General features: G+C 37.5%; 1 protein-coding gene across 16 annotated transcripts in view, besides 1 other annotated feature; it reads left to right on the top strand.

Moving 5' to 3' along the window:
- Window positions 1-260: 260 nt before the first annotated feature.
- Window positions 261-26,025, top strand: part of TRDMT1 (tRNA aspartic acid methyltransferase 1) — a 64,337-nt gene continuing 38,572 nt past the window's right edge. For all 16 annotated transcript variants that reach the window (NM_001321006.2, NM_001351221.2, XM_047424697.1 and 13 more), the window contains exon 1: window positions 261-362. Coding sequence is in view for 12 of the 16 variants with exons in the window: in NM_001351221.2 (NP_001338150.1) it covers window positions 299-362 (64 nt within the window). In the remaining 4 variants the exon portion in view is untranslated. The remainder of the gene's footprint in view (window positions 363-26,025) is intronic.
- Window positions 564-623: a silencer, noted in NCBI's record as "silent region_2181". NCBI's record gives its function as "represses an Ori minimal core promoter by ATAC-STARR-seq in GM12878 lymphoblastoid cells {active_cell/tissue: GM12878}" and the evidence as "EXISTENCE:reporter gene assay evidence [ECO:0000049][PMID:35858748]".

The following is a 26,025-nucleotide window of genomic DNA, read 5'->3' as shown; positions in this document are numbered from 1 at the left end:
CTGGATTTCTTTTCCAATCAAGGCCCCTGACACCAAAGAAGGAAATGGAGCGTAAATCAGGCTACAGAGTGGCTGCCATTCATTCGGGAAGCCTTATTGTTTTCCGTCCTTTGTTCCCCTCTAGACCCTTGCCAATCCCCAGGCCGCGAGGCCCTCTGAAGCCCTGAGCCTGGAGCGGTAGGAGACGGGGGAACTGAAACGCCGCGGAACCAGAGGCTGAGGGAGCGGCGCGATGGAGGGAGGAGGAGCGACGGACCGGCAGGCCTAGCTCCGGGGCTGCGGCGGCTGAGGCGCGGGGATGGAGCCCCTGCGGGTGCTGGAGCTATACAGCGGCGTGGGCGGCATGCACCACGCGCTGAGAGGTGAGAGTCCATCTAGCACCCCTCTCTCTATTCGCTCACGGGGGCTGGTTGGAGCACCCGCGCCGGGAAGGGGCGGAGCGGCGAGACGCAAGGGGCGGACACTGTGGGGCGGACACTGTGGGGCGGCCCTCGGTTGTCCTGGAAACAGCTCCTGCGCGCCGCCGTGTCCACCCCTCCAGACGCTGACTCCCTTCTCCTGGCGCCGAGTCTGGCTCGAGGGGCCGCACATGGCGCCTCAAAGGGCCCAGTTGGGAGTCGGGATTCGCAAGGCAGTAAATCAACCTCAAAGGGTATCAAAGGGGCGAGACCCTCGCCTGGTGCCAAGCCCCCATTCTAAGTGTGCAGCCACCGAGAAGCATGGAGACTCGGTCCTTCATCCTGGGGGGCTTCCCAGCTGGGGAGGGAGGGAGTGTCAGGGGCTCCCCTGGTGAGAGATGGATCTTGGAAGGGATAATAGCTACAATTCAAGGTAGAAGTTTGCGAATGCTAAATAGGATGGTAGAGGAAGCTTGAAGAACTTGGACGTCTGATCGTTGGAAAGAAACGTGTCTTCTGTAGTTCTGCGTTTAGATGCCAGAGAACTGAGTTCCAGCTTGGTGGCAGTGTGACGTTGGGCTACTTCGTGAACAGTGATGAACCTGTTTCCTGGTTTTAAAAGAGAATGATTATTATAAGGATTAAAGTCTGTCAAGTGCTTGTTAGTGCCTGATACATTGTAACCACTCCAAATATTATACATTATTATCACTATTACTTTAAAACGACATCACGAGATATTATCAAGCAAACTATTACTTTTATGCACGTCTTTGATTTTGAGGTTTTTGATTTCTTTCATGCTGAGTTGGAACTGAAAGTTTTACTTTTGGTGATATTCACTCAAAATTATTTATTGAGCTCCTATTCTGTGCCAGATTTTGTGCTAGGAGCTGGGGATACAGAATGACAAACAGGCTTTGAAGGTGCATGTTTATTCTTAAATTACTAAGACAACCACCGAACTGAAACTTCCCTGCTTCCTTATTTAGGACCAAGAGTAACAAGAGTAACTGTAAGATACAGACAATATTTAATGGGTTTAGCGTATAAGTTTTTTGAGCAGATTTATTGAGTTTCAATTCTAGACTAGGTTAATGATCATTAAGTTTTTAGTACTTGTTTGCCGGCTATCTTTATTTCTCATTTTAAAACTTAGCAGCATCAAAGCAAAACTCTAGTACTATTTACTCTTTGTTAATTCTCTAAAGTGATATAATGTCCGCGTTTTCCCATATCTTGAAACTCCTTAATGAATTGCTTAGTACTTTATCATAAGCTGTAATTCAGCCATTCCTTAAGTGTCGAATATTTAGATCATTCTTCAGTTTTTTTGCAAGTACAGTGTGCTACAGTTACATTCTTGAGCATAATGCCGATTTTCTCTTTAAGCATGTTTACTAACTGTTGGAATTAATTCAACAGTAAGACTTAACTGTGTGCTAGTTACTAAGTGAAAAACAGAATTTTTAAGGCTTTTGAGAGAGAGGATAGCAAATTGCTTTTCAGAGATTTTTGAGTGCCTTAACTACATATTCATCAGGGATATGTATTATCAATTTTTAATCCTTGCTAATTTGTTAGGGGAAATTGTGTAATTTTAAGTGACAGTTTTGGGATTAATGAAAGAGTAAAATATTTTCTCTCCTATTAGCCAATGCAATGTGAATTTGTACACGTTTTTCTATTGCCAGTTCTACTGTTGTGAATCCAAGCTATTAAGTTCTGTAATTTAAATTATTAACATAGCTTCCCAGCTTCTCTCCTTACTTCCATTCTGCCTCCCTACTCCGTTTTCCTTCTAGCAGGCAGCATGATCATTTGCACAGTAAACCAGATCATGTTACTTCGTTGCTTAAATGGTTGCTTTTGAGATTGTAATCACAGTCCCATCTTAACAGGCTTGTGAGTTCTGGCTTCTGTCTTCTCTTCAATTTTATCTGCCACTCTCCCTTCAGCATCCCGCTTCACCGTCAACACCCAAAGCTGAAATTCTAATTAAACGATTCCCTGAATTCTTTCCTCAGCCTTTCTTGTCGAGGCTTACTGTTTTTCTTTCTCTCTACTCCTCAAACCCTCGAAGTTCTTCGATGTTCTGGCCTTTGCTTTTGCTGTTGCCTCATCCAGAGTGCTCCCTAACCCCAGACTTTTTCACTCTAGCTTCGGTTCACATTTCATGTCTTAGTTCATATATTGGCCTTCCCTGGCTGACCCTGTGATCCAAAGCAACTTTCCTGCCTCCCTGTACCTCTCTGCTCTCTCATCTTTTCGGTGGAAATCTGCATATTAGGGATATAGACTCTTAATCATATTGATGCAAATATTTTTCCACACTTGTTTGCCTTCCCATGTTCACTTATTTGATGTACTAAAGTTTAAAATTTACCTGTAATAAAATGCATTGCTCCTTTCCAGGTGGTTTTTAATATAATAATAAAGACTAATAACAGCAGCTAACTTTAGTGTTTATTAGGGATCTTTTAAATTCAGGTCCTTTTTTAAGTATGTAATAAACTAGTTAGCGGTAGAACTGGTATTTTAACCTAGGTCTACCTACCTGACCTTTTAACTATGCTATGTTGCCGTTGTTCTGGTTAGAACTACTAACTTCCTTGGATCTATACATTAAATAATATAATAAGCAGCACAAAAGGAATAATATTGAACTTCATTTTTGACTGATTTCTAGATAAGGTTCATAATGGAATTTTTTTATTGTGGTAAAACACAACATGAAATGTATCATTTAAACTATTTTTAAATGTATAGTTCAATGGCATTAAGTACATTCACAATGTTGTGCAACCATCACCCTTGTTCATTTCTAAAACTTTTTAATCATCTCAAACAGAGCTCTGTACCTGTTAAACAATAACTCCAAATTCCCTTTCCCCCCAGTCCCTGGTAACCTTGATTCTGCTTTGTCTTTATGAACTTGTCTACTCTGCGTACCACACATAAGTAGAATAATACATTTGTCCTTTTGTGTCTGGCTTATTTCACTTAGAATAATGTCTTCAAAGTTCATTTATTTTGTAGCCTGTATCAATATCTCAGTTCTTTTTGTGGTTGAATAATATTCCATTGTATAGCTGTACAATTTTGTGTATCCATTCATCTGTTGATAGACACTTGAGTTGTATCAATTACCTGCTGACCATTGTGAGTAGTGCTGCTTTGGATATTGGTATATAAGTATTGTTTGAGTCCTTACTTTTAAGTTTTGGGGTATAGACCTAGCAGTGGAATTGCTGGATCATATGATAATACTGTGTAACTCTTGAGGAACCACCAGCCTGTTTTCCGCAGCAGCGGCACAATTTTCCATTGCATGAGCACTCCGTTTCCTCTACCTCCATATTCTCCACTTGTTATTCCATTTTTTAAAAATAATAGCCATTCTGATGGATATGAAATCATATCCTATTGTGGTTTTGATTTGCATTTTCTTAATAACTAAAGATGTTGAGCATCTTTTCTTTTTCTTTCTTTTTTTTTTTGAGATGGAGTTTCGCTCTTCTTGCCCAGGCTGGAGTGCAGTGGCGCGATCTCAGTTCACTGCAACCTCCGTCTCCCGGGTTCAAGCGATCTTCCTGCCTCAGCCTCCCGAGCAGCTGGGATTACAAGTCCCTGCCACCATGCCTGGCTAATTTTTTGTATTTTTAGTAGAGATGGGGTTTCACCATGTTGGCCAGGCTGGTCTCGAACTCCTGACCTCAGGTGATCCACCCACCTTGGCCTCCCAAAGTGTTGGGATTACAGGTGTGAGCCACTGTGCCGGGTTGTTGAGGGTCTTTTCATGTGCCTGTTAGTCATTTGTTTTCTTCAATACAGAGAAGTGTCTGTTCAAGGCCTTTGCCCATTTTGGAATTTTCTTTTTGTTATTGAGTTGTAGGCTTTATATATTCTGGATCTTAATGTCTTATTGGATATATGATTTGCAAATATTTTTCCCCACATTACTGAATTTTCAGTTATAAAAAGTATATTTAATTTCTTTAGCAACATGATAGATTTGCCTCAAACCCAGTGAACATTTAAAAAATATGTCAATAAAAGTTTTTCATCCTTATCAGCATATCCAGTATGCTGTTGCATTTTTACAGTCACTACATAGATGCTTCTGTATTTTCTAAATTTCATTTAACTTTATTTATATCTATTTTCCCATGTATTTACATGGCTTAAATGTAACATTCTTTGCTGTTCCTTTCTGTTCCTGTACAGCCTCTAGCACAGTACCACACTCTTTCTAGCTTACTATTGAGGTTACTATTGAATTGATAATCCTTCTGCTATCGTTTTATCAAATGATGAAGGTTTATTTAGCCCAGATTCTTTTTTTGTATTATATGTAGTTCTTAGTTGCAACCCACAGAATCCACTCTAGCTAACATAATCAGGAAAAAAAAAATTAAAAACATTTGGAAACTCACAGAATCTCCAGGACACCCAACAAACAGGTTAGGTGAACAGGAGCACTGCCCACACTATAGTGTGGGTATGGCCACAGTGAAGCTTTATCCCGACATCACAGCTTACACCAACAGTGCTGGGTTCTGGAAGCCAGAAGTGCTGTCGCAGTTTTCCCTTGAGAGGTGGATGCCTCTTACCACCTCCCTTGCCAGAAAGATGGGTTTCCTCGTTTGTTTAAGTTCTTCCATTGCTACCTCTGAATTGAAGTCTCTCCTCACACTGCTAACTCTAAACTGAGGTCTTATCATGTGGATGCAGGTGGTTGGTAGACACTAGATACCACGGCCAGACAAGGGAAGCTGAGAAGGTGAGTTCTGGCTTCTATTTGGGGAAGGAAGGATCCATACTGTGGCAAATTTTCAAACACAGGAAACATAGGCAAAGATTCTAGATGGCCACAGTATAACAATGTCTATTACATTTTTAAATACATATTTGACCTATACAGAAACTACTTATGTGTACTTTGATATTTATGTCTGCACAGTCTACAAAGTTTTGGCTAATGAGAATCTTCCAAGTGAAAATATCTTCTTTCAGAAAGCAGTGGAAGAAGTAGTGTCACAGGTTATATATCAGTGGAGCCTGCAAGGTCACCTGCAAATATATGCAAATAAGATTCTGTATTTTTCTCATTTTAAAATGTAGTATCAGGAGAAGAGTAAAGTGTGGTTTAAGGTGGTGAATAAAGGAAAGCTCTAGCTGGATGACTGTTTTCTATATAGTCAAATATTGGAGTCAGCCTTAAAAGCAAAAAGGCCTGTCTGCCAAATAGCTTCTAAAGCTCTTCCAAGGAGTTGGCTTTGAGTTTTACCCCATAATACTTCATTGTGTTTAGTAAGAATTACTCAGCCTTAATATTTTCTTTTAAAATGCTAAGCATCTCATTTGTCACGTATTAATTATTCATTTTCTGAATCTCTTTTGTCTTTGTTCCTCAACGACTTACATGCCAACTTGGGAGTCTACTAGACCAGCTTGTAACTGGGTGTGTTTGTAACTGAATCAGGCAACTACATTACGATGAAGTGTATTTGTATGTAGATATGAATGTCACCTAAGGATATTTTTATAGCATCAGTTGTTAGGGGCTGGCCTATGAACCGCTTAATTTTTTTTTCAGTTATACATACCTGTCTTTGGGATTATAAAATTTTCCTTTTCATGCCTCTTTCCTTCTAGTTACTCTTATATAGCAAGTCATATTTAAAGTGAAGCAACGTAAAAAGTTGTCCTATTAAAATAAATTTATCATTTCTTCTCTGGCAGCTGTGGAAGTTAATAAACTTGAAATACAAAAAAGAAATACGTAAGATGAATTTTGAGTATTCAGTAAAAGAGAACTTTAACTTCCCATTAGACAATTGAATTACTTATCTTTTCTTGTGAGGAATAATGTGTGCTTACTTCACTGCAAAGTATTTTTTGGGGTTAGGGGTAAATTTTTTTTTTTTCAGCTTCTAGATTCAAGGGGTACATGTGCAAGTTTGTTACTTAGGTATATTGTGTGATGCTCAGATGTGAGGTATCAATGATCCCACCACCCAGGCACTGAGCATAGTACCCACAGTTAGTTTTTTAACCTTTGCTGCCCCCCTTCTCTCTCTAGTAGTCCCCGGTGTCTATTGTTGCCATCTTTTTGTCCATGAGTATCCAATGTTTAACTCCCACTTATTAGTGAGAACATGAGGTATTTGGTTTTCTGTTTCTGTGTTAATTCACTAAGGATAATGGCCTCCAGATGCATCCATGTTGCTACAAAGGATATGATTTTGTTCTTTTTTATGGCTGCGTAGTATTCCAATGGTGTATATATACCACATTTTCTTAATTCAGTCCGCCATTGATGGGCACGTCTTTGCTATTGTGACTAGTGCTGTGATGAACATGCAAGTATATGTGTCTTTTTGGTAGAATGATTTTGCTTTCTTTTGCATGTATACTCAGTAATGAGCTTGCGAGGTTGAATGGTAGTTTTGTTTTAAGTTCTTTGAGAAATTTCCAAGCTGCTTTCCACCATGGCTGAATTTATTTACATTCCCATCAACAGTGCATAAGGGTTCCCTTTTCTCCGCAGCCTTGCCAGCATCTGCGTTTTTTTTTTTTTTTGACTTTTTTTTTTTTTTGAGTCGGATTCTTGCTTTGTTGCACAGGCTGGAGTGCAGTGGTGCAATCTTGGCTCACTGCAACCTCTGCCTCCCGGGTTCAAGCTATTCTCCTGCCTGAGCCTCCCTAGTAGCTGTGATTACAGGTGCCCACGACCACGCTTGGCTAATTTTTGTATTTTTAGTAGAGACAGGGTTTCACCATGTTGACCAGGCTGGTCTGGAACTCCTGATCCCAAGCAATCCACCTGCCTCGTTCTCCCAAAGTGCTGGGATTACAGGCATGAGCCATCACGCCTAGCTTTTTATTGACTTTTTAATCGTAGCCATTGTGACTGGTTTGAGATGCTGTCCTATTGTGGTTTTGATTTGCATTTCTTGAAGATTAGTGATGATGACTATTTTTTTTCATTTTGTTGATGGGCCACTTCTTTTGAGAAGTATCTGTTCATGTCCTTTGCCTAGTTTTTAAGTGGGGTTGTTTGTTTTTTGCTTGTTCAGTTGTTTAAGTTTCTTTTAGATTCTGGATACTAGACCTTTCCCAGATGCATAGTTTGCAAATATTTTCTCCCATTCTGTGAGTTGTCTGTTTACTCTGTTGATAGTTTCTTTAGCTGTGCCGAAGGTCTGTAGTTTAATTAGGTCCCACTTGTCAATTTTTGTTTTTGTTGCAATCGTTTATGAAGACTTAGTCATAAATTCTTTTCCAAGGCCAATGTCCAGAGTGGTGTTTCCTAGGTTTTCTTCTAGAATTCTTATTGTTTGAGGTCTTACGTTCAAGTCTTTAATCCATCTTGAGTTAATTTTTGTATATGGTGAAAGGTAGGGGTCTAGTTTCATTCTCCTGCATATGGCTAGCCAGCTATCCTAGCACCGTTTATTAAATAGTGAGTCCTTTCCCCATTTTTTTTGTCTACTTTGTTGAAGATCAGATGACTGTAGGTGTGTGCCTTTATTTCTGGGTTATCTATTCTGTTTCGTTTGTCTGATATGTCTGTTTTGTACCAGTACCATGCTGTCTTGGTTACCGTAGTCTTATAGTATAGTTTGAAGTCCATTAATGTGATACCTCTGGCCTTGTTCTTTTTGCTTAGGATTGCTTTGGCTATTCAGGCTTTTATATGGTTCCATATGAGTTTTAGAATAGTTTGTTCCAATTTTATGAAAAAATGATGCTAGTAGTTTGACAGGAATAGCACTGAATCTGTAGATTGCTTCAGGCAGTACTACCATTTTAACAACATTGATTTTTTGAATCCATAAGCATGGGATGTTTTTCCATTTGTTTGTCACCTGTATGATGTCTCTTAGCAGTATTTTGTCATTCTCCTTGCAGAGATCTTTCACCTCCTTGGTTAGATGTATTCCTAGGTATTTTTATATGTTTTTTGTGGCTGTTATAAAGAAGATCACATTCTTGATTTGACTCTCAGTTTGAACATTATTTGTGTATAGAAATGCTTCTAATTTTTGCACATTAATTTAGTATCCTGAAGCTTTGATGAAGTCATTTATTAGTTCCAGTAGACTTTTGGTGGAGACTTTAGAGTATTCTAGGTATAAAATAATATCATCTGCAAAGAGAGATCGTTTGACGTCTTCTCACTCTGTCACCCAGGGTGGAGTGCAGTGGCTTAATCTTGGCTCACTGCAACCTCTGCCTCCTGGGTTCCAGCGATTCTCCTGCCTCAGCCTCCTGGGTAGCTGGGACTACAGGCATGCGCCACCATGCCTGGCTAATTTTGTATTTTTAGTAGAGACGGGGTTTCACCATGTTGGCCAGGCTGGTCTCGAACTCCTGACCTCAGGTGATCAGCCCACCCCAACCTCCCAAAGTGCTGGGATTACAGGTGTGAGCCACTGTGCCTGGCTCCTTTATTTCTTTCTGTTGAGGGATTGCTCTGGCTAGTACTTCCAATACTATGTTGAATAGAGTGGTGAGAATGGGCATCCTTGTCTTGTTTCAGTTCGCAAGGGGAATGCTTCCATCATTTGCCCACTCAGTATGATGTTGGCTGTGGGCTTGTCATAGATGCTCTTATTATTTTGAGGTATGTTCCTTTGATGCCTACTTTCTTGAGGGGTTTTTATCATGAGGAAATGTTGGATTTTATTGAAAGCTTTTTCCACATCTTTTGAGAGGATCATATGGATTTTGTTTATTCAGTGTACCTTGATGTTCAAATACGTTTAGAAACTCTCCACACAACATCTTTCCTTGAGACCTTCTCAAGACACGTGAAATGTATCAGGTTTTGAGAAGTAAAGAAGCTGTTTGGCTTAAAACAGTGCTTCCCATATGTATTTATATTTGGGCAAGGACCCTGCTGCTCCTGCCCCTCGCCCACCCTTTTGTTTTGCGGGGAAGGAGAGCACACCTACATTGTGAAAACAGTGCTCCTTAGTGCGTGTTTCCGGAAATGTCTGATGGGCAACAAAAGGGCAGTGATGGAGCTGAGGGAGATGCTGGGGTTGTGAAAGAAAAGATGCGCCAGGGCTATACATATTAGCCAACTATGTTCATAATTTGGACGAACTTTGAAATAAGCTTCTCTGTAATATTTCTATTAGGCAGGTATTGTCATTCTTACTATCTCTGTTTTCTCCTAGAATGCCCAAAGCTGAACTACTGGTCTCTGATCCCTTCCAAAACTTGCCACTCTTGTAACCTGCCTCACCCCAATAACAGGTGGCTTTGTTCTTCTAGTTGCCCACACCTGAGCCTTGGAGTCATCTTGTTTCTTCTTTTTCACCCACATCAGCCAGTTCTACAGGCTTTACCTTCAGACTATATTTATAACTCTATCATTTCTCTCCATTTTCACCTTTACCACCTGATCTATAATCTCTCTCCTGTCTTGTCAGACTTAATTTTTGCGCTGCCCGGATTTGCTTGGCCCCACCTGCCTCCTGGCCTGGGGCTGCTGGTTCAGTGTCACACCCTGACTAATGCCACCTTGCCTCATCTGACACTGTCAGGGGGTGATGGCCGAGCTTGACCCTCAGAATGATTGTCGACCCCTGTACCTGGACTCAGGTGAAGTGTCAGGCTGTGGGCATGCACTCTGTCTGCTCAGTAGCTGTCTTGAGGAGTCAGATCACAAAACCTGACTTGTGTGTGTAGGTAGCAGGGAGGTGGGGAGTCACGCTTTGGGGGGACTTTTGACCAATAACAGACAGGATGAGAAAGGAGCCAGAAGATACACTCTCTCCCTCCTCCCGCAATGGTGCTCCTTGCTCAAATGCCAGTGAGAAGATGGGAAGTGCTATTTCAGACCCAGTAGCGTCTCTACTGCAGGGCATCTCATCATCTCCCACAGCAGATACAGCCCTCCCCTGACAGCTCTGAGGTGTGGTCATCCCATCCAGCCTGGCTCTACCAAATCCCTCATTGCCAGAGCAGTTGGCTGGGTTTCTGGGAAGCATTGACCGACGTGCTAATGCACTCCCTCCTTCTCTGCCTCACTGCCCTAACTCTTGCCGCTTCGGAGTTTTCCTTCCAGATAAAGCATCTGCAGCTAAGCTTGGCCTGAGCTACTTTTCTGGGACCCTGGACAAAGCATTATTGCAGTAGCCTCTTTACTGATCTTGCTTCTGCTCTGGCATTGCAAGTTTGTTTTCAGTAGAGTGGCCAGAGTGATCTTTAAAAAATATATCTGATAAGTTATTACTGTGATTAAAACTCCTGAGGAGCTTCTCCGACCACTCAGAAACCAGAGTCCTGAATGGGTCCCCAGGCCTGCTTGGGCTAGAGACACTTTCTCTCTGGGGCCACATCTCCTGTGGCTGTCCCCTTGCTCACTCTACTCCAGGCTCCCTGGCCTCCTGGTTGTTCTTCCTACAAAACCAGCATGTTCCCATCTCTGGGCCTTTGCTGTGTCTCTTCTCTCTGTCCTAGAAAGTGCTTCTCCCTGATATCTGTCAGGCCCATCCCCTCATCTCTTCCAGGTTGCTGCTAAAGAGACATTCTGTAACCGACCTACATAAAACTAGAACCACTCCCTTCTCCCATGCTGTCTTGCTCTGGTTTTTAGTTTTCTCCATAGTACTTTTTATTGTTAGGCATAATTTAAACTTGTTTGTTTATTGTCTGTCTCTCTCCTCTAGAATGTAGGCTCCATGATAGGATAGGCTTTGTCTGGAATAATCCTTTTATATACTTGTTGAATGCGTGAATGAACAAATGAAAAAATGAACTATAGGCATGCTTGCTGTGAAATATCTGCAGCTTGATGTAGATATCATCCTTCTGTGATAAGTTTAAACTTAAGTATTAAGTCTGAATCATGAAGAGTTTTTGTAGGCATGGTTGTGTGTGAGATTTTAATAGATAACAAATATTTTTCTGTAATACATGATAAAACATTTTTGTTCTTTTTATTTAAAACATTTTAAATATTGTCAAAATAATCAGGGCTTTTGAGAATAAATTGGTCTTTACTCACTGTAAAATTTAAATCATATGCTAACAGTGAGCTATGGCCAAAATAATTAAGTTTAAGTGGTTTTTTTTTTTTTTTGCTCTTTTATTCCTGTCAAGAAATATGAACTCTTTATTTTTCAAAGTTGAAAAGAAGTTGATGTATGAGAGCAAATCTACACATAATTACACGGTGATTATTATCATAATGATAAATAAGGTCAAGGTTACATGTACAGTTTGGTGTCTGGAACCTTTTTAGAATCTCTGTTGCCTTTTGCTTTCCCATGGAACATTATCAGAAATATTGGTGAAAAGTGCTACCCAGGAATAGTGCCAACCAGCTCTCCTCTTGTCTAAAAGCGTAAAATTATATCTCATTTTTAGCGACTAGGTAAAGTGTATGTTGGAATTTTAAAAATTACCGTTACTTCGCCTGGACCAATGGTTTCTTTTACTTATATCCACTAATTATTTTCATTCTGAGACTTTAAATCAACACAAACCTAGCCAAACCCCTTTGTGTAAAGTAAAACAGCTCTATTAGAGAGCTGAACATTAATATTAAATAGTTCTTGTGCATCCATTACTGATTTTTGTTCAAACTCAATAATGAAGTTAATTACCCTCTAGTACTCAATGAATGAGACTCAAGAAACAAATGCCAGAGTCTTTTAGCACAAACAGGACCCCATAGACTTTGGCAGATGCCTTCATTAGAGTTGAATTTTGGTTCAAAAAGAACCTATAATTCAAAGGATTTGTAGTTTAAAAATTCTAGTTAAATTGAAATCATATGTTAGCATATGATTTTAAATTAACTAGAATTTTTAAAACTATGCTAAACTTTAATAGATCGCTAAGGTTTAGATGGTAATAAAGTACCAGAATAATTTCTCTGCTTCTTCAGAATGGATGTTTTTCTTGTGTTCTCAATTTATTTTTGTGTTATTGTTTGCTGAGATAATTGTTAAAACTATATTATTTGAATATTCAGATTAAATGATGTTCTTTGTTGATTGTGACTTAATCTCTAGCTTGTTCTCCATCCAGTGAGATTTCTTTTCATTAATTTTGAACTGTCAGAATGTTGGTACCATGGTTTGAAGAAAAAGCTGTGAATCTACCATTTTTCTAAATTTTTTATGGCTTTGCATATCCATATATGGCAAAGGCACTATATTTAAAATCCAAGGGTTTTTCGCTATGAAGACATCATCTTTTGCATTTCCTTCATGACTGTAAATTCAAAACGCTTGTGATCCCAGTATTTTAACTAAGAACAAAAACAAAATACAAATATATATACATACACTCTTATAGACATGTTTGGCATAAATTCTTCTATATGAGATATTCATTTTACCTGAAAAATTATACTTCAGAAAGAGAGTATGGCCTTATAATTTAGTCTTCTGAAAGGAAATCTCTTCATATTACTCAATTACTAAACTTTTCAAAAATAGCAAATCAATAAAGTACTGCTTGGATAAACTACATTAGCCTGAAGAAACTTAATATCATTTCTAGATGCTTATTGAGGTCACTCAATGGAATTGGCCAGAAACCATAGAAATGAATTTAAAGATCTAGAAGTAATTTTTAGGAGGATGACCTCACAATTACAAGTGTTGGATGTTATTGTAAACAAGCCTTTTGAAAATTACTTTATAAAGCAATACAGTAGGTGATTACTTCGCGGAAATCACAAATAGCTACTGGGTATTTGTGGTGGGCATAAAATTTCCAGTGACATCATTATACACGAACTCAAAAAGGGCTAGTTCTCAAGTAACTCTGACTGAAGGAAAGTTGGTGTGTCCTTGAACACTGTTAGATGATTTAAAAGGTGGCTCTGTTGATGATAGTGACCCTGATTTCAAAGAGGCACATGAGAAAGTAGAATAAAATCATTTCATGAACTTTGAGTAGAAAATATACAATATTTCCAAATGAACATGCTAAGATAGTGCTGTATAAAATATGTTGGAGGCTTCTCCTTGTGTGAAGCTCTGTGGGAGCAGGGATTCGTTGTTTTATCATCTCTGCCTGGAGCCAGAGCCAGCGCCAGCGTCAGTCATGCTCAATAAATATGTCTTGAATTCATAAATGAACCTGGTTATAAACTCACAGGAAATACTTGCTGAAAATATTTTGCAGAGCATGAATAAACACTTGACAGGGTTGGTAAAAGGTTTTCATAAGCATTGTCCCGTTCAGTAGTCAGGGGATAAATCCTTTCTCTATTTTTTAAAGATATTACCTGGAATTATATCTTTATAAATTCATAACAGATCCTAAAGATTACCTCAGATGGCTTCTTCAAGCACATATTTATTGAATACAAGCTAGCCAGACCTGTTAAATGGGATAAATACCCTTTTCCCTTCCCATGTTAACACCTAAGAGCTGTAATTCTTCATGCCAGTTAAAAAAAAGTTCAAAAAACAGAGTTTGTTTTACTAATGTAAAACATTAGTAAAATTAAGTTTACTAATGTAGAACTTAATTTTAATGTAAAAATAGTAATTAAACTGAATATAAAAAATAAAGTATGTTTAAATTATAAATTATACAATATGAAGTCATTTGACTATTTTGGCTACATCCTTAAACATTTATATAATGAAAATGGCCAGAAATCTAATTTTGGATATTTTCATGGGGAAAATAGGGGATTAACGTTTATTCTAGTTGTCTTATGTTTGGGCACATACAGTGGGTATGTGTGTAATGTATTTGTGTTTAGACACAGAAAAAGGTCAGGAAAGATGCACAGTGAACTGTTCTCAGTACCAAAACTTGTATCCTCTGCCCTGCCTCCCTATCCTCTGGCCTGTTTTGTTTTTCACTTTAACACTTATTACTGCCTATCATATTTTGTATTGTACTTGTTTATCTTTAAAATTGACTGCCTCCTCTTCTAGAATGTAAGCTCCTTGAGGGTGGGATTTTTTTGTTGCATTTTGTTCTATTTTGTTCACCACTGTATCCTTGGATCTAAAAGCACCATTGTATGTTGGATGCTCAACAAATATTTGTAGAATTAATGAATAAGCTATAGTACATGAACATTTTAAAGGTTGTTGATGATTGTCAAATTATTTTTTTAAAAGGACATACTAGTTTATATTCAGTAACGTCTCTGTGACCATAAATATGCCAATATAATATGTTAACCCATATAATTTACTAGGTGAAATTGTTATCTTAATTTTTGATTACTAGTGAAGTTGAATATTTAAAAATTATTATTATGTGCATTTCTTGTTTTTTATTTTTAGCAATATTAGTAATACATTTGTTAAAAAATTGGGACACACTGAAAATATTCATTTATTCAGTACATAACTATGGAGTGATTTTTCTTTGTTGCTTACTGTGTTGTATGGTGAGGATACAGCATTGAACGAGACAGTCATGTTCCTTTTTCCAGAGATTTTGCTCTACTGGGCAATACCAATGCTACACAAATAGAGAAGAAAATTTAAAAAACTCACCAATGATGCTAATGCATAAACACTGACATAACACTGGTGAAGACATAAACACTGGTGAAGGCTTAGATTAAAATCTTTATTCTAATGTGACCATGAACATTAAAATAAATTATAGCTTTCTTTCTTTACTTAGAATATCTTGAATATTTTCGCTTGCCATTAAATGTAGAATTTATAAACTTTTAATGGTTGTATCATACTCCACTTTATGAAAGTACAGTATTTGTTCGAATTAATCATCTATTCTGGGACATTCAGATCATTCATAAATTTGCACTATTATAAATAAAATAGCATCACTTATCCTATATATAAATATTTTCTTTACATCTCTAATTATTATCTATGTATGAGTTTCCTATTGCTGTTGTAACAAACATAAACTTAGTAGCTTAAAGCAACACAGGTTTATTATCTTATAATTCTGGAGGTCAGAAGTCTTAAAATCAAGTTATCAACAGGGCTGCATTCCTTCTGGAGGTTCTAGGGGAGAATTCATTTGCTTGGCTTTTCTGGCTTCTAGGGGCTGCCCATAGTACGTGGCTCATTATCCCTTTTTCTATCTTTGAAGCCAGAAGTGTAGCATCCCAAAGCCTTCTCTCTGACCTCTACTCCATCTCCAAATCCCCTTCTCTGATTTTAACCTTCCTCAGTCCTTCCTGTGATTATACTGGGCCCACGTGCATAATTCAGGATAATCTCCTCATCTCAAGTTTAATCACATCTTCAAAATCCTGATTCCCATGTAAGGTAACATTTTCACAGGTTTCAGGGATTAAGATGTGGATATCTTTGGGGATTATTATTTTGCCTATCACACCTTAAGAAATGTGCCAAAACATAAAACTAAAAAATCCAAAGTAATTTTTTGGGTTTTAAATGTATACCACCAAATATTCATTGAAATATTGACTGTTAATTGATGCTCACAACTGCATTGACCATATTTATTTATTTATTTATTTATTTATTTATTTATTTATTATACTGTAAGTTCTAGGGTACATGTGCACAACATGCAGGTTTGTTACATAGGTATACATGTGCCGTTGGTGTGCTGCACCTGTTAACTTGTTATTTACATTAGGTATATCTCCTAATGCTATCCCTCCTTCCTCCCCGCACCCCACAACAGGCCCCGGTGTGTGATGTTCCCACCCTGTGTCCAAGTGTTCTCATTGTTCAATTCCCACCTATGAGTGAGAATGTGTGGTGTTTGGTTTTCTGTCCTTGCAATAGTTTGCTGAGATTGATGGTTTCCAGCTTCATCCATGTCCCTACAAAGGACATGAACTCATCCTTTTTATGGCTGCATAGTATTCCGTGGTGTATATGTGCCACATTTTCTTAATCCAGTCTATCATTGATGGACATTTGGGTTGGTTCCAAGTCTTTGCTATTGTGAATAGTGCCGCAATAAACATACGTGTGCATGTGTCTTTATGGCAGCATGATTTATAATCCTTTGGGTATATGCCCAGTAATGGGATGGTATTTCTAGTTCTAGATCCCTGAGGAATCGCCACACCAACTCCCACAATGGTTGAACTAGTTTACAGTCCCACCAACAGTGTAAAAGTGTTCCTATTTCTCCACATCCTCTCCAGCACCTGTTGTTTCCTGACTTTTTAATGATCGCCATTCTAACTGGTGTGAGATGGTATCTCATTGTGGTTTTAATTTGCATCTCTCTGATGGCCAGTGATGATGAGCATTTTTTCATGTGTCTTTTGGCTGCATAAATGTCTTCTTTTGAGAAGTGCCGCACTGACGATTTTTAAATCACACCTGGTCCTTTCTAGCATTTGATATTCTCATTTTTAAAAAGTCTTTGCACTTTCAATAATAATAATGGCAAACATTTATTATATGCCAGACACTAATCAAATAGTAATCCCCAAAGATGTCCATGTCCTATTATAGTTATTAACTCATTTAATCCTCAGAAAATTCTATGGTGCGGGTACTTTATTATCCTCTTAATAGGTGAAGATACTGAGGCTTAAAGACACAAAGAAACTTGCCTAAATCACGCAACTGGAAATAGCCAAGCTAGGATTTAAATGCAGAATTCTAGCAGAGAAAGAGAGAAAGAAATACACAAACAGATATCCATATTCTAAATCTTCATCAGGACGTATGAACACACACACAAAATAAAAAATTCCATAAGACTGTCCCTAAGATAGCTTTGATAAAAAATAAAATAAGAATGCCTAATGCTGAATACTGTGTGGCTTAGTGGAAAAAGATTTGTAGAGAATGATATAGTTAGGAGGAGACTTGGAAAGGGGAAATGAGTGAGGCAGTTGAAGTGCATAGGTCTTATGACAAGCCTATACTTTCTGGCCTAGTGCAAAATTGTAAAACTTAACTCTCCTTTTAGAGGTATCTGTAGCAGAAATTATACTGCTAGTGTTTTGCAGGATAGGATTTGAAATTTTATTGAGTCAATAATGATGAAAATTAGAAGCTTTCAAGGAGGGCTAACTATAAAGCAAAGGAGGCTCAGAATGGGAAGACAAATTTAGAGAGGATTTTCTTAGGCTAATTTTAGGGATCTTTGTGAGTTAATTATTATATATATTATACTATATGTTATAAAATATTAAAATAATTATATTTTTACAAGTCTTTAAAAAATTCAGTTAACTAGATATAGAGTACTAATGTTTATGTCACTTCTCATTTTTTCATTGACTTTTCCATAAATATGTCAGAAATGATCACCTCATAAGTTATGAGAAAGCATCAGTAAAGAGGACCGTAAACATTTTATAGTAAGGAACCATTCATGAGTGGTCATTCACTCAAAACAAATGTATGTAAAACAAAATCAAAGTCTTTGTTGTTCACACCTGTAATTGACTGCATCACATGTGTTTCTATTATTTCTTGACTTTTTAAGTAGTTTATATCTTTTGACTTCTATAAGCATGTGAATAGGTTACTTTCAGCTCTACATTTTTTGGGCGTATGCTAGCTACTTGATGATCTTTAGAAGACTTTCATAAGGTAGTTTAATTTTTAGTTTTTCTTTTGATTATTGTTGAGTTAGCAGGTAAAATAATGCACTGAGTTACAATTGTTGTAATTATAATGAGTTATAATTGTTTACTGGTGTGTATGTGCCTGTGACAGGTCACAGCACAATTGGCATGCCTTGAGAAAAGAGCCAAACCTTTCTTGTCTGACCTTGTTACTTTCCTTTTGTTGTTTCTCAGGGTCAAAACCAAGAGCAGCATTGAATTCTTTCGTTCCAAAATAAGAGTCATTTTTTTGTTTGCTTTTTGCCAATTATAAAAATAGTACATTCTTGCCAGGTGCGGTGGCTCATGCCTGTAATCCCAGCACTTTGGGAGGCCGAGGCAGGTGGATCATGAGGTCAGGAGTTCGAGACCAGCCTGGCCAATGTGGTGAAACCCTGTCTCTTTCTAAAAATACAAAAATTAGCCGGGCGTGGTGGCACACACCTGTAGTCTCAGCTACTCAGGAAGCTGAAGCAGAAGAATCACTTGAACCCAGGAGGTGGAGATTGCAGTGAGCTGAGATCATGCCACGGCACTCCAGCCTGGGTGACAGAGCAAGAGTCCATCTCAAAAAAGTAACTAAAGATATAAATAAAATAATAGTATATTCTCAATGAGAAAAAAATCGAATTATTCAAAAGAGTTTAAAGAAAGAAGAATTACCTCCAAATCTCACCACCAGGGGATAGCCTCTGTTGATATTGGCTGTTTTCTCTGTCTTAAGGTGCACACATACACATACACATACACTTTATAAAACTTGGATTTTTACTCAAGATATTCTGTAACTGCTCTATGTAGTAAATAATATGGATATTGCTTTGTGACAGTAAATATGGATGTTATCTTTTTAACATCTCTATTTTCATACATGTATGTAATGATACACTCTTATCTTTACATACTTGTTTACAATTTTCCTTAGCGAACATTTCCAGATGTAGTATAACTAGGTCTAATAATCAGAAGAATTATGTCAATTTATACCACAAATGACATGAAGGACAGCACATTTTCTTAAATCCTTGCTGGCATTAGACAGTGTTCATTTATCCAATCTTTGCCAAGCTGCTAGGTAAAACTGGTTAATGTGGATTTCTGTCATTATTGGTGAAGTTTGGCATCTTTTATATGTTTATCGATCATTTAAAATTTGGTATTTTTGAATTGCTTGTAATGAAATTTCTATTTTAACTGTTTTACTTTCAGGACTTGAGCTTTGTAAGAATTGATGAGACTGGGCAACTGAAAATATTCTGTGCTCCTTAAAAGACATGGGAGCTATAGTTTATAAGTAGCTCTCTCTCTGTATTTGTTGTATTTAGTATCCATATATAGAAATAAGTGATTGGGTATTACCATAAGGAAGTCTTCACTCCCCAAATTGAAGACTCTTGACCTTCTTTCTTCAATTTAGAACAGTTTTATCAAGAAGAATACTTCTATTTTGTAGATGTATGGTTAATTAATTACTTATTTACAGGACTTTTGCATTCATATTGCTCTGTTTGCCAGTTTGGAATTTGAAATGCTTCTCCTCATAGGAACAAATGGCATATTAGTTTGTGTTCACCTGATTGCCACTTAGAAGTGTTATTTGCAAGTGACAGAAACTTAGCTCAGACTGGTTTCCTAAAAGTTGTAACTCTGGACTCATTTAATTGACCAGGTCCAAATGTAGGCCCAGTTAGGGGTAGAGTTTGAAGCAGGGGCTCAAATCATGTCACCAGAAACCAGTTTTTTTCTCCATGTATCTCAGCCTTGTTTCTTCTAGGTTGGGTGCATTTTTATATATGTTCTCCCCTTATTGCATCAAAATGCCTGTAGTAGCCTCTGAACTTATCTCCATCCAAGGTTTAACGTGGTAAGAAAGATCAAGCTACTCTTGCTATTAATAGTTACACAAGAAAAAGCCAGGGGTCACCTCTTATTGTGCCTAATTGGCTTATTTTGAGTTGCATGCCCATCCTGAAACCGGTCTGGCTAGTCTTACTGGCTCAGGCACTTGACCGAGGCTTCTAGAAGCTAGGAGAAGGGGATTTGAGGCCATCTGAACCACTTCAACAGAGCATGAGTGAGGTAAGTTTCCCCCAAAGAAAATCTGGGACTATTGCCAGAAAAGGAGGGGCCAGATGCTGGTAAAACAGAAAACAAATGTCCACTCATTTTGTATCCTCAGTAGAGTGCTCAGTACATGATAGGTAATCTCACAGATATTTACTTACTGCCTGACAATAGCACTATTGGGACTATATTTAAGACATTTGTAACATAAATAGAATTTTGTAGGTTTCCTGGGAACTTCATTGTAGGTGTTAAAAAATTTGACCTAAATGTCAAACAATTACTTAAAAATGAGCATTGAGATAGATAATCATATAAGTTCAGACATATTAAATACTTTTTAAGCTAGCAGTGTTCTCAGAAACAGGAGAACAAGGAGGGTAATCAGTAATAATCTGGAGTTGATTTTAGGAAGTATAATTCACTTATTCTCTTGTATGTATTCAATTAATAGACGTTTATTGAGCGCCTATTCTGTGCCAATTACTGCAATGCCTGGGTGCTGAGAGTACCCATATGAATGAGACATGGTGTCAGCACTGAGATGATTGAGTAGTCTAGTGAGGGAGCCACTGTCCTGGGAAAAATGTGACAGCAGAGTGAACTGGAGTGTGATGAGAGTGCACGGATCAGCCTTCATGGTCCGTCACAGCAAACGGAGCTCAAGTCATTACATCTGCTTTCCAAACCTCCAGTGGAAAGGCCAGAGAGCATAGGGAACTACCACTCTCTTCCTTTATAGAACACTCTCTGAGAGTGTGATGCACTTATTCTGTCTCATTAGTCTGACTTTAGTCCATGGCTGCATCTAGCTGTAGAGGGGTGGCAGATATCCTTTTAGCAGGGTGCATTGCCACAGTGAATAAATTTGATGTTTGGTTATTGAAGAGGAGGAAGAAATAAATGTTGGGATATGCAAATAATTTTTGTAGAGATAGTATAACTAGAAATCATATTTTTGAGTCATTAGTAAAACATATTAGTAAAATTTCATTAGCAAAATTTAATTTGATGTAAAATTTACTTCAAAGAGACTGAGCACTAAGGAGAAATTGTGAAGTTCCTTGAGTTCTGAAATAGGAAAAATATGTTGTTTGCTATCCATCTTTCATACTGTTTCTTAAGTACTCATTTGCTTAGTGTTCAGTTTAGCATTTTGCTAGGTAGTTTGAAATGGGAAGAGGGACAAGGGAATTAAAGATTGATTATCATGAAAAAAAGCACGGCACTATTTCACCTAAGGTGCAGCTTTGTCTAGGAAATACTAGTTTCTCTCCTAATAGACAGTTATAAGTAGAAGGAAAAAATTAAGCATTAATGCAATGTTACTTCATGTTGATTCCCACAAATCAGGTTTTCTCTGTACCGAATATGGAAAGAGAGTTTTTTTTTTTTTTTTTTGAGACAGAGTTCCGCTCTTTTGCCCAGGCTGGAGTGAAGTGGCGCAATCTCGGCTCACTGCAACCTCCACCTTGTGGGTTCAAGCGATTCTTCTGCCTCAGGCCCTGAGTAGCTGGGATTACAGGTGCCTACCACCATGCCTAGCTGATTTTTGTATTTTTAGTAGAGACGGGGTTTTGCCATGTTGGCCAGGCTGGTCTCAAACTCCTGACCTCAGGTGATCCACCCGCCTCAGCCTCCCAAAGTGCTAGGATTAAAGGCATGAGCCACCACACCCGGCAGAAAGAGAAAATTTATATTGTTTGTCGTAGTTCACTTACTATTTTTATTCTTTAATAGTTATTTTAAACGTAGTATCTAGGAAAGGCAAATTAATAGACAAACATAGCCATAAAAGAGCATTTCTCTTGTATCAGTTCTTTAGTTTCTAACCAGTGAATTAGGGTGAAAAGGCCAAGATCTTTGTCAATAATGGCAGGTAGTAAAAGATGATCTGAAGACCTATACTTCTTACTTAAATGCTCATAGAGTATCAGGGCTAGAAAGTGTCTTTAGGGATTGCTTAGTGGGACTATCCTCCTCCAAATTGGAGAAAACAAGTAATAAATATCCTGGGAAGAAAATTTTTCTGCCCTGTGTTAAAAAAATCCTTTCCCCAATACCTCCGATTTCTCTCTTTCATTCTAGGGTTTGATAGCAAGGTCAGGAAAGCTTTTCCCATCAATGCTAGTCTCTTGGGATTAAATTTTAGCCCGTTTCTGTTTTTCCTTTTTTTTTTTTTTTTTATTAGTAGAGATTGGAATCAGCTAGTTTTTGTCATTTGTGAAGATCTCTTCTTACATTACTTGAAACTCTTTCAAAAATATTTCTCCTGCAATTCATCTCCCAGATGAACAGTATGAGTCTTAAGCTTTTGTCACTGGTCTAATTTTCTAACCTTAATTATAATGATAATGATTGTTTTAATTTTGATTTTTAAATTTTAGTTAAAATAATCATTATCATTATTATTTTATCTATTTAATCTATAATATTCCAGATAAATGCCAGGCAGTGAATATGAATTTTAATAATTATTGAGCATTTACTGTATCCTAGGCGTTCGTTACCTATATTCTTTTTAGAGACCAGTTTATGCCCTTGGAAATTGAGGTCCCTGCATCCTCAGGACTAAGGGTAATGCTGGGCTATGTGGCCTTTCTGTAGCCCCTGCTGAAAGTGAATAGCTAAATTGCTTTTTCTCTTCTCTTCTGCCAAGGAAAGCTTCAGGGCTGGTGCGAGGTTGTGGGTTGAGGGGCTGGAGAAGCTGTATTAGCTACCTCATGACATCAACATGACTTTAAATAGACTTTCTAGAGACGTTCCGGAAAGATTACTCATGCCTTAATTTTCTTTCTCAAGGTCCTCCTCAAAACTCCAAATTGCATTATACTACCTGACATAACATCTTTATTTTCCATTCCTTGTAGATTCCTTCACTGTGCTCCTTTTTTTTTACATTAATTTGCCATATTTCTCTCTTCCACCACTTCTCTGGCTCTGGTATGTCTTTTGGTATTTTGTTGAAAAATAAATTCTCCTAAGATATAGTGTCAAGGACGTGATAATTTCATAGATCTCCAGCAGTTCCTATCCGTATTTTGGCTGGTGGTCTCTTATATTTAGTCTGGTGTTAGTAACAATAATAATCTAAGGTATGTCTTGACACAAAGTAAATTTTGTTTGGACAGTTAGCTGACTATGGAAACTTTCTAAGGAAACTGGATCTTTGAAAAATATTTTTAATGTATTTTTTATTTTATTCTTGGAAATAATTTATCAGCAATTTTTAAAATGCAAGAACTTTTTTTTTTTTTTTTTTTCCGAGACAGAGTCTCATTCTGTCATCTAGGCTGGAGTGCAATGGTGCAATCTCAGCTCACTGTACCCGCTGCCTCCAGGGTTGAAGCGATTCTCCTGCTTCAGCCTCCTGAGTAGCTGGGATTACAGGCGTGTGCCACCATGCCTGGCTAATTTTTGTATTTTTAGTAGAGATGAGGTTTCACTATTTTGGCCAGGCTGGTCTCAAACTCCGAACCTCAAATGGTGTGCCCTCCTTGGCTTCCCAAAGTGCTGGAATTACAGGTGTGAGCCACCTCACCCAGCAAAATACAAGAACTTTTAAAAAGAACCAAACAATATACTTTACTAATAGTGATAAAACATTTGGCAGCAATTTTAAGTTCAGATCCTTATGGGTCTGTACGTTCTTTAGTACTTTTATTCCTAACTAAGCCAGCACTTTGAATGAAAGGACATTGGATGTATTCAACTGATCTTTCATCTTACAACTAGATGTCAGTGTTAACATACTTGATTAAATGTCTCAGGTGTGAGTATAATGAGTAATTCAGTAGTTACTCACCTATATGAGATATAGATTAGAAAATAAATAATAAAGAAGGAATAGAATTTTAAAAATTTCTTTCCTTATTTCAAAGTGGACTGGTTATGCCTTAATTTTCTTTCTCAAGGTCCTCCTCAAAACTTCAAACTGCATTATATTATCTAACATAACGTCTTTACATTTACATTTTTTACATTTGCATTTACATCTTGTAAATATTGATTTTTTTCCCACATTAATAACTACACAAGAACAGTTAAATTTTTTTATTTATTTGGTTAGGAAAGTCAAGAAGAGTGTGAACTTGTAAAGCTTTTCACTACTACCAACAAAAAGTTCTTCCCTACAGCGTTTCCAGAAAGAAGAATCATCAGAAAAAGAAAGGAAAGTATTGCTATTCAAATGTCTGTGTGTGTGTGTGTGTGTGTGTGTGTGTGTGTTTCTTGTCTATTTTTGTAAGAAGCATATTGAAAGCAAGAATTATGTATGTATCCTCAGTGACATTTCTAACATCTTACCTAGAAGTCTCTCTTGAAATAACTAAATCTACCTTTTAAATTTAGTCCTCATATAAATGGAAGCGTGATGTCCTTATGTATTCCTTTCGGAGCCAATCTGACAACCTTTTAAAATAATTTGTACTGTGTTTTTCAGCCAAGCGTGGTGGCCCACACCTGTAATCCCAGCACTTTGGAAGGCTGAGGCAGGCAGATCACTTGAGGTTAGGAGTTTGAGACCAGCCTGGCCAATATGGTGAAACCCTGTCCCTACTAAAAATATAGAAATTAGCTGGGTGTGGTGGCAAGTGTCTGTAGTTTCTGTTACTCTGGAGACTGAGGCAGGAGAATCAAATTGCTTGAACCTGAGAGGTGGAGGTTGCAGTGAGCCGAGATCATGCCACTGAACTCCAGCCTGGGCAACAGAGTGAGACACTATCTCAAAAAATAAATAAATAAATAAATAAATAAATAAAATAAATGTGTTTCTCTAAGTAGGATATCTCACCTTTTTTTTTTAAACCAGGCTTCCTGTTAATAAATATGAAATCCTGAATAATAACTGAAATATCATGAATAAAGTCTAGGCAAAGTAATACATCAAAGTACTGAAAACACATCCTCTTCCTCTGTTTCAATGAAAAGATACTCACGAATCCCTTTCCCAAATTCTGCCTCCTTTTTGAGAATTACTACTCTTGGATCACTCAAGTGATGGAGCTCACATAGGCAAAATTCTATAGAATTATATTCACTTTGACATTTTTAATTATACATTTTCAAAATCTATATATGTAACTTAAAAGTAAAGAATTTTGGAGATTGTAGATTTAAACTGTATACTAAGAAATATCAAGGCAACTAGTCTTTGGAATTCAAGTTAAGATTTTGACAGAATTGACAGGTTTGCTTTTTAAAACTTATCTGTAAGTTTAACCTTTTCCTTAGAAACAATAACCACCCCCCAATTCTATTTTGAGAAGGCAAGTTGAATTAGTGTCAGTAATATCTTAGTACATCCATTTCTCTTAATAGAAATAACTTTTTAAGTTATGCAGTAGGTCCTAATTTTATAACAGTCTAAAATATGTGCATCAATCCATGCAAACAGTGCATTTGCTTATTGGCTTTGAAAATCTGTTCTTTCCTGAGAAAGAAATTTCAGTTCATCAGTTTTTGGATCACCATATGAAATACTCATTTGGCAGTTGATTTTTGTCAGTTTTTATGACCTCCAGGCATATAACACAAGAACATAAAATTAATTATTGATTACAGTGCAGATTCAGCACATCACTGTACATTTTCACTCTGCCTGAAAAAAGATACAAGTCCTATTAACCAATGTCAGGCAATCCCAGTTTGCTTCATATATGGTGGAAATACAAGCAGGCTACATCATGCTGATTACAACATATTTAACAAAACAGTAAAATAGTACAATGAAGTTTATTTAATTTTCAGCTCTCTTACAGTGATTAGTAGTAGCTTAATTCTTGACTTGAATTATGATAGTTTTGTGTTTGCAAATGGATCCTTATATATTAATATTTTCTTTTGTTTAGAAGCCTTCTTGATTTATGTTTCAAGATCTGATGGCTTTAACAGATACAATTTATAACCTCAAATTTATTTTATACTAAGGCCAGTAACTAGTTATTGCACTTCAATGCAGAAGAGGCAGCTGTCTATGGCATTACTGATTAGACCACCAAGTTTGCAGCACGCAGGGGATCTTACTTTTCAGCA

This window comes from Homo sapiens, chromosome 10 (assembly GCF_000001405.40).
Source record: "Homo sapiens chromosome 10, GRCh38.p14 Primary Assembly".
Taxonomy (NCBI): Eukaryota; Metazoa; Chordata; class Mammalia; order Primates; family Hominidae; genus Homo; species Homo sapiens.
This window is presented reverse-complemented; position numbering and strand designations above follow the sequence as displayed.